Source organism: Homo sapiens, chromosome 4 (genome assembly GCF_000001405.40).
Source record: "Homo sapiens chromosome 4, GRCh38.p14 Primary Assembly".
NCBI lineage: Eukaryota > Metazoa > Chordata > Mammalia > Primates > Hominidae > Homo > Homo sapiens.
The window spans coordinates 153292948-153305779 of NC_000004.12; the positions used below are offsets into that span (position 1 = coordinate 153292948).

Genomic DNA, 12832 nt, shown 5'->3' on the forward strand with positions numbered 1-12832 from the left:
CCAGAACCAGGAACTTTTCTTGTGTCATCCACAGGTGATGGAATTTTACTGCCAGTCCTGTGAGACTGCCATGTGTCGGGAGTGCACGGAGGGGGAGCACGCAGAGCACCCCACAGTTCCACTCAAGGATGTGGTGGAACAGCACAAGGCCTCGCTCCAGGTCCAGCTGGATGCTGTCAACAAAAGGTGGGGGACCCCTCCCCAAACCCCCAACTGGCTGCCTGTACTTGAGGCCTGGCCTCATGGCCTCTTGTCTAGGTACAAGAGTAGGTTCATATTTCCCTTGAGATATCAGGCTTTGTGGGTAAATAAGTTCTTTTATCATGGATTTGTTGTCATAAACTAATGAGTGAGGAAGGTTGTCTTCTGCCTGTTGGTAGAACTCCAGCCTCCTTATGAGTGGCATTTTTGTTTTAGTACCTAAGTATGATTACATGAATTAAAGTACACTCAAATAAACTGCTCTCAGGAGAGTTCTGAAATTCATCCCTGAAACCAGGCTCTCTGAGGAGCCTTCCTTATCTGCTGTTCCTGACACACATACAGGCCATTTTGTTGGCTGTGATTGGCTCCTTTCTGTCTGAGCTCTGCAAAATGGTCTTGAGCAGTGATTGCTAATTTTCCTTGTTTTCCTGCTTCCAAGTTCCTTCTTTGGCACAGAAATGAAAGAACAGAGTAGCTGAGTGGTGCATGAAAAAGACCAAAGAGAGGAAATGAGAAGCCAGCAGAAAAGCAGACAAAATAAATCTCTCCACTGATAGCTGTAGTGAGAAAAGTGTGGTTGTTCTATAGTAATTCAAAGAACTTGGAAACTTACGAGAAGTTCTCAAGAAACTGGGTTTGGATAAATGTTTTATGTGGCTAGGGTAAAAGATACAGCTATCTAGAATAGTGGTTCTCAGCCATTCGGCAATGCCTGGAGACATTTTTGGTATCACAACTGTGTGTTTTGGCAGGGGGTTGGGGAGAGGGAGGCAGGGCGGGGAGAGCTATTGGTATCTGGTAGAGGACAGGCTGCTGTTAAACATCATACAATGCACCAGACGGCCCCTGCAACGAAGAATTAACCTGGCCAGAATGGCTTTTCAGAGAGCTTCAAGTCTATACACTTAATTAATTATTAAAATTGGACAATTGATGGTAGATTGAAATTGACAATTTTGATTGTCTCTGAAGAGACAAAATCTCTTCTCTCTAAGGCAGTAATTATGTCATATCTTATTCTGTTCTCTGGTTATTGTTTTTTTAAAGATGATGAAAGGCATAGAATTTTTTTAAACAAAATGTAGTGTTTAGATAGATTTTGGAATATTTCTGGGTTGAGGTTAAATAACGACCTTTAACAACTGTCCACCAGGCTCCCAGAAATAGATTCTGCTCTTCAGTTCATCTCTGAAATCATTCATCAGTTAACCAACCAAAAGGCCAGCATCGTGGATGACATTCATTCCACCTTTGATGAGCTCCAGAAGACTTTAAATGTGCGCAAGAGTGTGCTGCTTATGGAATTGGAGGTCAACTATGGCCTCAAACACAAAGTAAGACCAGAATCATTACAGATGTCCTGGAAGAGACATGATATCCAAGGGCACTAGCTTATTGTTTCCTAATAGCAACAAGGGGTCCTTAAGTGTCATCATTGTATAGTAAACTATAGTTTTCACTGAATGTAATATCCAGCTATTTTTTCCCCTATTTTCAGCAAAATTCGATGACTCTGTGACTTTAAGTACTAGTTTATAATTTGACAAGAGGCAAGGTTGAATATAATGTAATGCTTTTAGCATTTAGAGTTAAACTGGATTGTTTTCATTCCTCAGTTATAACATGAAATAGTTTCTTAATTGCTCTCTCACCCACACCAACCTGTTAGTCAGCTTCAAAATGAACCCTGACTGCAGCCTTTGTTTAACTCTGCATGTCTGTTCACAAAACAGGGATGAGAAACCTCTGATGTTCAGGTGTGGAGAGTTTTCATTTGTTTACTTCCTGTTCCTTTAGGTGGTGATGGACATGGGGACATGGGGAAAGATACTGAATAATGAATATTTCAGATGTCAGGCATAGCAATTAATTTGCTATGCTCTTGGTAGTGACCTTTCTGTTTTCCCCTCTCCAAAACACATGAGCCAAGAAATACATGTGTGGAAGAGAGGGCGAGGCGGAAGGGAAACCTCGAAAAGGTACTGGGAATGCAGTTTAGGACTTTGCGTTAGCACTGGGTTCCCTGGGTTGACAAACACCGCTTGCTCAGAGCCACCTGCGTGGGCAGGTGTAGAGTCTCCTTCTCGCCGGTGGAGGGCACTGCCCCGGGCTAGGCCCCGCCCTGTGGGACGAGCTCACCAGGCCTCCGGTTTTCCCGCAGGTCCTCCAGTCGCAGCTGGATACTCTGCTCCAGGGGCAGGAGAGCATTAAGAGCTGCAGCAACTTCACAGCGCAGGCCCTCAACCATGGCACGGAGACCGAGGTCCTACTGGTGAAGAAGCAGATGAGCGAGAAGCTGAACGAGCTGGCCGACCAGGACTTCCCCTTGCACCCGCGGGAGAACGACCAGCTGGATTTCATCGTGGAAACCGAGGGGCTGAAGAAGTCCATCCACAACCTCGGGACGATCTTAACCACCAACGCCGTTGCCTCAGAGACAGTGGCCACGGGCGAGGGGCTGCGGCAGACCATCATCGGGCAGCCCATGTCCGTCACCATCACCACCAAGGACAAAGACGGTGAGCTGTGCAAAACCGGCAACGCCTACCTCACCGCCGAACTGAGCACCCCCGACGGGAGCGTGGCAGACGGGGAGATCCTGGACAACAAGAACGGCACCTATGAGTTTTTGTACACTGTCCAGAAGGAAGGGGACTTTACCCTGTCTCTGAGACTCTATGACCAGCACATCCGAGGCAGCCCGTTTAAGCTGAAAGTGATCCGATCCGCTGATGTGTCTCCCACCACAGAAGGCGTGAAGAGGCGCGTTAAGTCCCCGGGGAGCGGCCACGTCAAGCAGAAAGCTGTGAAAAGACCCGCAAGCATGTACAGCACTGGAAAACGAAAAGAGAATCCCATCGAAGACGATTTGATCTTTCGAGTGGGTAAGGAGAGGGCTTCTGTGCCCGACGCCTGAGCTGGCACTGGTTAAGGGGTAACTGGGCACGTGTCATTGCAAATAGCAACACTGCAGCCCAGAACTCTACCTGCAGGTGTTAGGAGATGTACTGCTATAAAATTTGATATATTTTGTTAGTCGAGCTTATGCAGTCTCCTCCAGAGATGGTATTTCCTTCTCCTCCGCCTCTAGTCTCCTCCCTACTCCCTCCTTTCTCTTCTTCCTCTTCCTTAAGACACAAGTGCTGCATATTCATTGTAGGAAATTACAAGCTGAAAATAAGCAAAAAGAGAAATAGAAAAATCATAGCACCCGTAATCTGAAAATCTTGAAGGAAAAATTGGCAATCCTCCCCCTAACCCCCACCACCAACGCCCCTCTTCCCTGGGAGGGTCTTCTTGTGCCAGAGCTGAGGCTGTACGGTTGGCAGAGCATGTGATGCCTCCCTGTCACTGCATCGGCATTGCAGGAGGGAGGGGATGTGTGCATTGCAAGTTGCAACCACCTCCAGCTGTGTGTAGCTGGAGAGCAGCCCCAAGGAGAGGAGGAGGGGTGGAAACTTGGAGAAAGAATGGGGTTGAGGCGGGGTTGGGGTGGAAGCAAGAAGGTACCCGATGAGCCAAGAGAGTTAGGAATGCAAATAGCCCTTCCCTCCTCTGATTTATGGTCTCTCTCTTTTTAAACTTTCTATGTTCTCAGTAGAAAGCAACTAAATGTAAACAGCAAAGGGCTTGATGATTCTTAAGGGAGAAAAGTCTGCATTTTAGTTAGCTTCAAAAAGTAGCTCCAGCAGACTTCTTTTCCTCCCTCTTCCATTTAACAATGCAGTATCTCTGAAAGAGTGCTGCACTGTATATTAGCTGGCACATGTAGAAAAACAATTCTATGGTTCAGATAAATTTGGGAAACCTTAGGCTAAATGAAGGAAGTGGACTTTTTTAAATTGCAGAACTTCTTAAAACCTTTAGAATCTGCTGATGTACATTGTAGGTCTCTGAGGCAGGAGAGGGATAGATAACAGGCAGCACATCCAAACTTCCAACCATAGAACTTTTTCCCTGGAACGTCTTGGGAAATGAAGGCTCTGTGGAACGTTCTTGGGCAGAGCTGCTCAATGTTAATGCTTCAGGCTGAATCTTCGCAAAGACGGTGATATGATATGTAACTTGTCTGTTCAGAGCATGGAAGCCCTCATACATTCACGGCCAGATGTGCGATATGGGTGCAGGGGTTGTTGATTCTCCACCAGAGCAGAGTGGACGAGCTTGGGTGGATGCAGGACTGGGAGGCGCCCAGGTCTGCCACTCCGGTTCAGCCACTTACTTGAGCCTTGGGCAAATCTTTCAGCTTCCCTGTACTTCAACTTCTATGTCCATGAAATGAAAATGCAAAAATATCTGCTTATCAGAACTATTCTAAGTTCCAAGCTGAATGCCTGACATGTAGGAGGAGCTAAATGAATGAGAGCTATTGTTTTTGTACATGTAATTGTTAAGGCTTTTAGATTATCCCTACTACCTTTTCTTTTCAAAAAACCTGCTGGCTCCCCACTGATCTCTTGCATTACGAACAAATTCATTTTCCCATTTAAACCTCCATCCCCCACACCTCCCACCAAGTGACCCCAGTCTACTCCCCTAGGCCATGTGCAGTGAAAGACTCAGAACTGGAATTGGGCAGATCTGGGTTGGAATCTTGATTCTTCTCACCAGCTGGGCAACTGGCTTACTTACCCTTTTTGAACAGTGTTTTCTCCTCTGTAAAACAAAGGGAATGAAATATTACCTAAATCTTAAGGTTGCTGTTGGGGGTGAAATGAGAGAATTCTTGTAATATACGTGGCATGTGCCTGTGTACAGCAAGAGCTCAATTAATGGTAGCTAAGATTTTACTCTTGTTATTCATCATCATCATCATCATAATCATCATCACCTCTGATACCCACTTGAGGAAAGAGACATGTCTTTCAGGAGTTTCCTGTGCTCAAACTATATTGGTTTTGATTCTCCAGATCCCACCCCAGGGACAAGGGGGTATATCTTCTCCCCTCGTACCTACTGAGAAATGCAGCCATAGTGATGTATTGGCACTGCTGGAAAGGTGTTGAAATGTGTAAACATTTGTGAAGAACTTAGAACAGTGCCTGGCATGCAGCACGATGTCTGAGTTTATCAATGAAGTAAAGATGCTGTCTTAGTTTGCTAAGGCTGCCATAACAAAATTCCACAGTCTGAGTGACTTAAATGATAGACATTTATTTTCTCACAGTTCTGAAAAACTGGAACTGTTTTAGAGTTAGAAGTCCAAAATCCAGGTGCTGGGAGGGTGGGTTTCCTCTGAGGCCTCTGTCCTTGCAGATGGCCACCTTCTTGCCTCTTTGTCCTCACATAGTCATCTCTTTGTGGCTCAGCCCCTATTGTCTCTTCCTCTTCTTATAAGAACACCAATCATACTGAATTAGGGCCCCGCTTTAACAGCCTCATTTTAATTTAATCACCCCTTCAAAGACCTAATCTCCAAATATGTATATATTCATGGTGTACAACATGATGTTTTGATATATGCATACCTTATTGAATGGCTAAATCAGGCTAACATATGCATTACCTCACATATTGATCAATTTTTTTATAGAGAACACTTACAATCCACTCTTTCAGCAACTTTCAAGTGTATATAATATATTTCTTTTCTTGTTATTGAAACAGGGCCTTGCTCTGTTGGCCAGGCTGGAGTACAGTAGCGTGATCATGGCTCATTGTAGCCTCTACCTCCTGGGCTCAGGTGATCCTCCCACCTCAGCCTCCCAAGTAGCAGGGACCACAGCTGCATGTCACCAAGCCCAGCTAATTTTTGTTTTTGTTTTTTTTTAGGGGTTGGGTCTCGCCATGTTGCCCAGGCTAGTCTCAAACTCCTGGACTCAAACAATCTCCCCATCTCAGCCTCCCAAAGTGCTGGGATTACCGGCGTGAGCCACCATGCCTAGCCATAATATATTAACTATAGTCACCATGATTTACAATAGTTCTCTTGAACTTATCCCTCTTATTTAACTAAATTTTTCTGTCTTTTGATCAACATCTCTCCAGTCCTTTTACCCCCACCCTCCCCAGCCTCTGGTATCCACTATTTTACTGTCTGTTGCTATGAATTCAACATTTTTAGATTCCTCATATAAGTGAGATCATGTATTATTTGTCTTTCTGTGCCTGGCATAATGTCCTCCAGGTTCACCCATATTGTCACAAATGACAGGATTTCCTCAATTTTTGAAGCTGAATAGTATTCCATTGTGTGTGTATGTGTATATATATATATACACACAGTGAAAGACTGTGTATATATATACCACATTTTCTTTATCTATTCATTTGTTGATGGACACTTAGGTTGATTCCATATCTTGGCTATTGTGAACAGTGCTGCAGTGAAACATGAGGATGCAGATATCTCTTTGACATCTTGACTTCAGTTTCTTTAGATATGTTAGATACAGTGAGTTCTAGATTTCTTTTCAAAGAATCAGTATGTCAGTATGTTCAGTTCTTTGTCCTCCATTTTAAAGTTTAACTTCCTTGTAGTTTCAGTAAACAACTTTTTCCATCAGTTTTAATCGGTAGTTCACATTTGTTCCCCTGGTCACCTGCTCTGTCCTGACTCATCCCTATCACCTGCTTTGACCCGAGTCACCCCTGGTCACCTGCTCTGACCTAAGTCACCTTTAGTTACCTGTTCCTAACCATCCTTCCCACAAACTACTCACCCCACCACTCTGGCTCATACCTGTACTCTCTTTAAAATAGCCAGTCGGAATTAGCTTAGACTGTGTGGTCCAACCCTAGCCAATAGGTGAACAACACAGCAGTAGGAGCTACCTGCGTCAGGAATAAGAACCCCTTCCCTCCCTTGTCCAGGTGTGCTCTCACCATTACTCCGTTTGCAAGTCGCACCCTTCTATAGAAGTAAAAATTGCCTTGCTGAGAAAATTAAATTTATGTTTGAGTGCTATTTCTTTGCGGCACCGAAAATTTGTTTCTAACAGATATATACCCAGTACTGGGATTGCTGGTTCATATGATAATTGTATTTTTAATTTTTTGAAGAACTTCTATACTGTTTTCCATAATGGCTGTACTAATTTACATTCCCACCAACCTGTGCCAGGGTTCACTGTCTCCACATCTCTGCCAACACTTGATATCTTTTGTCTTTTTTTTGAGACAGAGTCTTGCTCTGTTTCCCCAGGCTGGAGTACAATGGCGAGATCATGGCTCGTTTCCCCAGGCTGGAGTACAATGGCGAGGTCATGGCTCACTGCAACCTCAACCTCCAGATGCTCCCACTTCAGCCTCTCAAGTAGCTGGGACCACAGATATGTGCCGCCATACCTGACTAATTTTTTCTTTTGTGTTTTTGGTAATAGCCATTCTAACACGTATGAGGTATTATCTCATTGTGGTTTTAATTTTCATATCCGCGATGATTAGTGATGTTCAACATTTTTTTTTTTGAGACAGATTCTTACTCTGTCGCCAGGCTGGTGTGCAGTGGCGTGATCTCAGCTTACTGTAACCTCTGCCTCCCAGTTTTAAGCTTCCCAAGTAGCTGAGACTACAGGCACGCACTAGCACACCCAGCTAATTTTTGTATTTTTAGTAGAGACAGGGTTTCACCATGTTGGCCAGGATGGTCTTGATCTCTTGACCTTGTGATCCACCCACCTCAGCCTCCCAAAGTGCTGAGATTACATTTTTTATATACTGGTTGGCCATTTGTATGTCTTCTTTTGATAAATGTCTATTCAGGTTCTTTGCCTTTTTTTTTTTAATTTTATTTTTATTTTAAAAATAGACATGGGGGCCGGGCACAGTGGATGATGCCTGTAATCCCAGCACCTTGGGAGGTCCAGGTGGGCGGATCACCTGAGGGCAGGAGTTTGAGACTAGCCTAGCCAACATGATGAAACCTCATCTCTACTGAAAATACAAAAATTAGCCAGGTGTGGTGGCAAATGCCTGTAGTCCCAGCTACTCGGGAGGCTGAGGCAGGAGAATCACTTGAACCCAGGAGGCAGAGGCTGCAGTGAGCCAAGATCGCGCCACTACATTCCAGCCTGAGTGACAGAGCGAGACTCTATCTCAAAAAAAAAAAAATAGACATGGGGTCTCACCTTGTTGCCCAGGCTGAATACAAACTCTGGGCTCAATAGGCTCAAGTGGTTCTCCCATCTCAACCTCTGGAGTAGCTGGAACTATAGGTATGCACACCACACCCAGCCAACCTTTGCCTATTTTAAAATCAGGCTATTTTTTTCATTCTATTGAGTTGTTTGAGTTTCTTGTGTATTTTAGATATTAACCTCTTATCAAGATGTAATATTCTCCCATTCTGTAGGTTTTCTCTTCACTCTGGTGATCCTTTGCTGTACAGCTTTTTAGTTTGATGTAATTCCATGTATCCATTTTTGCTTTTGTTGCCTGTGCTTTCACATTCATATTCAAAAAATCGTTGCCCAGAACAGTGTCATGGAGCTTTTTCCCTATGTTTTCTGCTAGTGGTTTTACAGTTCCAGGTGTTATGTTTAAGTCTTTAATCCAGTTTGAGTTGATTTTTGTATATGGTGTGAGATGAAAGTCTGATTTCATTGTTCTGCATGTAGACATGCAGTTTTCCTAGCACCATTTATTGAAGAGACTGATCTTTCCTCATTTTGTGCTGTTGGCATCTTTGTTGAAAATCAACTATAAATGTATGGATTTATTTCTGAGCTCTCTATTCTGTACCAGTGGTCTATGTTTTTAAGCCAGTACCATGCTGTTTTGATTACTATAGCTTTGAAGTCAATTTTGAAATAAGATGGTGTGATGCCACCAGCTTTGTTCTTTTGGCTTAACATTGCTTTGGCTATTTGGGAGTTTTTGTGATTCCATACGAATTTTAGGATTGCTTTTTCTATTTCTGTGAAAAAATGTCATTGATATTTTGATAGCAGTTGCATTTTAGATCACTTGGGGGTATGGGCATTTTATTAATATTCTTCCAATCTATGAACATGAGCCATCTTTTTATTTATTTATGTTGTCTTCGGTTTTTTTCATCAATGTCTTATAGTTTTCTGTGTACAGATCTTTTACCTCCTTGGTTAAATTCATCCCTACATTGTTGTTGTTGTTAGTTTTTTTCTTTTTCTTGCATTCGTCTTTAACTTTACATTCAAATCCAGTATCTAGTCAAAAGACAACACTCACTATGCAATAATATACCTCAAAAAACATTTCTAGGGCACCTAGTGCCTGCCAGGCGTTATTCTAGGTGATGGGAATATAGAGATGAAGGAAATGACATCTCTGTCACCCTCTTCAGCTGACAGTTTGGGATGATAGATGTATGAGCAACTAACAGCATGAGATAGGTGATGGTAAGCTGTAGAAATGGGAAGGAATTTAAACTGGGACTTTAATGATGGGTAGGACTTACCCAGGTTGGCAGGCAGAATTGGTATCCCAGGCAAAGGGACCAGTGTGAAGAAGTACAGAAAGGTGAAGAGGAGAAGACATGATTGTTATTTTGGAGACACATCCCATATAGTGTGAAAAGGTCAAAGGGATTAAAAGTAATGAGGTTGGACAAATCAGCAGTGGAGGCTACTTGAACTCCCTCTGTGCTCTCACACACCTTTGTGCATGAATTCTTTTCCCAATTTTATCTTCCCTCAAAAACCACCTTCTCTTTCAAAATACACTTTGATTATTGTTACTTATGCCTGGGTCTTATTACCCAAGATGGTAAATTCCTTAAGGTCAAGGATGGTGTCTTTAATCATTTATAATTCCCAAAAAATACACAGAAGAATGCTTTGCATAAGTACTTTGCCCATTTGAATAGGATAAGTTGTGAACTACCTCATGATTTAACTTCCCTCTCACCACCGTCATGCTCGTTTGGAGGCCCAGGAACACACAGATCAGGTGACAATGCATTCAGCTGCAGGGGTAATCATTCACATTCACACGCATGGGACTATGCTAGGCAATATCAAACAGCACTGGCCTAAGAACTTGGCTTTTCAACATCCATACCTTTGACTACAAATCAGTAGAGTTTATGTTATCATTAAAAGATTCAACTTTTGGCTGGACGCCGTGGCTTATGCCTGTAATCCTGGCACTTTGGGAGGCTGTGGCGGGCGGACCACCTGAGGTCAGCAGTTTGAGACCAGCTTGGCCAACATGGTGAAGCCCCATCTCTACTAAAAAAAAAAAATATATAAAAATCAGCCAGGCATGGTGGCACGCACCTGTAATCCCAGCTACCTGGGAGGCTGAGGCAGGAGAATCGCTGGAACCCAGGAGGCGGAGATTGCAGTGAGCCAAGATCTTGCCACTGTACTCCAGCCTGGGTGACAGAGTGAGACTCCATCTCAGAAAAAAAAAAAAAAAAAGAGTTCAACTTTCTTCTACAATTATGCCTTTGTGCTGCTAGGTATGTGATAACAGAACATTTATGAATTGAATAATCATTTTGTGCATGTGGTGAAGCCTGCCACATGTAATCCAGAAATCATTCAAAGCCAATCACATACACATGTGAGATGGCAATGGTGATTCTGCTTTTCAGCCGGTGACATACATACTAAGCTTTTTGTAGCATTAATTTTATGCTTAAAGATACATCATTTCATAAAACATGTATTGGTGTTTATACAACAACCCTAAATACATGTATTAATTTTATAGATTCATGACATTCGTCATTTTCTGGGCAATACCTTTATATTTTTTGGGGTAATTTCAACTCAGATTTTCATCTTTGCCCATTCATTATCCAGCCTTCTAGTTGGATGTGACTGCTGTTTGAGCACCTTCTATGTTAGGTCATCCTTATAAAAGACGATGAGATGCTTACTCTGATCTAGAGGAGGCCACAGTTTAGAAGGAGACAGACATGTAAAAGATGGAGTGCCTTCAGCATAAATCAAGGCACAGAAGTCAGGATGGTGGGGGGAGAAGGCTGGCATGTGGAAGGAAGTTAAGGAAGGTTCCTAGAGATGACTTTTTTTTTCTTTCTTTCTTTCTTTTTTTGAGACAGTGTCTTGCTCTGTTGCCCAGGCCGAAGTGCAGTGACATGATCTCAGCTCACTTTAATCTCCACCTCCTGGGTTCAAGTGATTCTCTTGCCTCAGCCTCCCAAGTAGCTGGGGCTACAGGCGTGCACCACCACACCTGGCTAATTTTTGTATTTTCAGTAGAGATGGGCTTTTACCATGTTGGCCAGGCTCGTCTTGAACTCCTGGCCTCAAGTGATCTGCCCGCCTTGGCCTCCTAAAGTGCTGGGATTACAGGCGTGAGCCACCATGCCCGGCCCCTTGAGATGACATTTAAATTTAAGCTGGGTTTGAAAGAGAAATAATTTGTCAGATGGAAGGAGGAAAAGAGTGTTTTATAGGAAGGGAAAGCAGGTACAAAGGCATGAAAGTGAGAAACTGAGTAGTTTGAGGAACTGTAAATGATTCCATTATTTTGGAGCATCAAATGAAATGAGATACAAGCAGAGAGGAGGTTGTTTCCTTGATAAGGAGCTGGGACTTTGTTCTCTGAACCTGTGTTCCTCAAAGTGTGGTCCATAAACCACATGCACGAGAATGCCTTGAGGTGCCTGGTATAATTTAAAATCTCTGAATTCCAAACTGCTCTTACAGAATTAGAATCTCTTGAGATGGACCAAGGATCTGCATTCTGCAAGCTCCAGTGCTACTTATGCACACTAAGGTTTGGAAACCATAGTTATTATACAGGTGGTGAGAAGGCTTTGAATGGTGTAATGTAGTGTAGTGACTTACTAAGATATTTACTTTCCAGAGAACCTGGAGGCATTATAGGAGATCTATTGGAAATGTTTCCCAAGGGAGCAGGGAGATGATTAAGAAGCTTTTGCAGTAGTCCACATGAGCTATTATAAGGGCCAGGATTTAGAGTGATGTGATGGAGTAGACAGAAAACAGCATGTTTATAAAATGTTTTGGAAGGAGAGAGAGAAATTTGGTGAACAATTTAAACTCCCAGCTGTTAGACTTGAGTGCTGTAGGGAAGTGATGCAGTAGAGTAGATAGTTAAGGCTGTGAACTCTGAAGCTAGACTGCCCCAACACTGCTACTTTTCTATCTGTGCAATTTTTGGTAAGTTGCTTAGCCTCTCAGTGCCTCGGTTTCCTTTATAAAGTTACAAAGTTTCCTTTGTTTTGAGAATTAAATTAATTAACACCAAAAAAAGCTTGGAACAATGCCTGGAATTAAATAGTGTCCAGTACATTTTAGAGAGGCAAAGTAGGTAGTACTAGTTAGCATATTCACAGTTGTAGTCTAGAACTAATAGTTAACATAAATAGAAATATGGTAGATAAAGAGCTTGTCTCGGTCCCTTTTCTGTTGCTATAACAGAATACCTGAGACTGGGTAATTTATAAAGGAAATAATTGTATTTGGCTCATGGTTCTGGAGGCTGTGAAGTCCAGAGGCATGGTGGCAGCTTCTGGCTAGGGCTTCTGTACTGCATCATAATATGGTGGAAAAGCTGAAGGATAAGTGAGCAAATGCAAAAGAGACCACAAGAACAAGCTCAGCTCCCTTTTAAAACAACTCATTCTTGTGAGAACTCACCCCTCCAAAATGGTATTGATCTATTCATGAGGGCTCTGCCCTCACAACACAATAACCCCTTAAAAGCCTCACCT

At 43.0% G+C, this 12832-nt stretch overlaps 1 protein-coding gene across 33 annotated transcripts in view; it reads left to right on the top strand.

Moving 5' to 3' along the window:
- TRIM2 (tripartite motif containing 2) overlaps positions 1–12832 on the top strand; it is a 187155-nt gene that overhangs the window by 140785 nt on the left and 33538 nt on the right. For 29 of the 33 annotated variants that reach the window (NM_001375517.1, NM_001375514.1, XM_011531796.4 and 26 more), the window contains 3 exons: positions 35–186; positions 1358–1538; positions 2366–3089. In NM_001375517.1, the coding sequence (NP_001362446.1) occupies positions 35–186; positions 1358–1538; positions 2366–3089 (1057 nt within the window). The remainder of the gene's footprint in view (positions 1–34; positions 187–1357; positions 1539–2365; positions 3090–12832) is intronic. The other 4 variants (NM_001375490.1, NM_001375491.1, NM_001375519.1 and 1 more) reach the window with 2 other exon arrangements.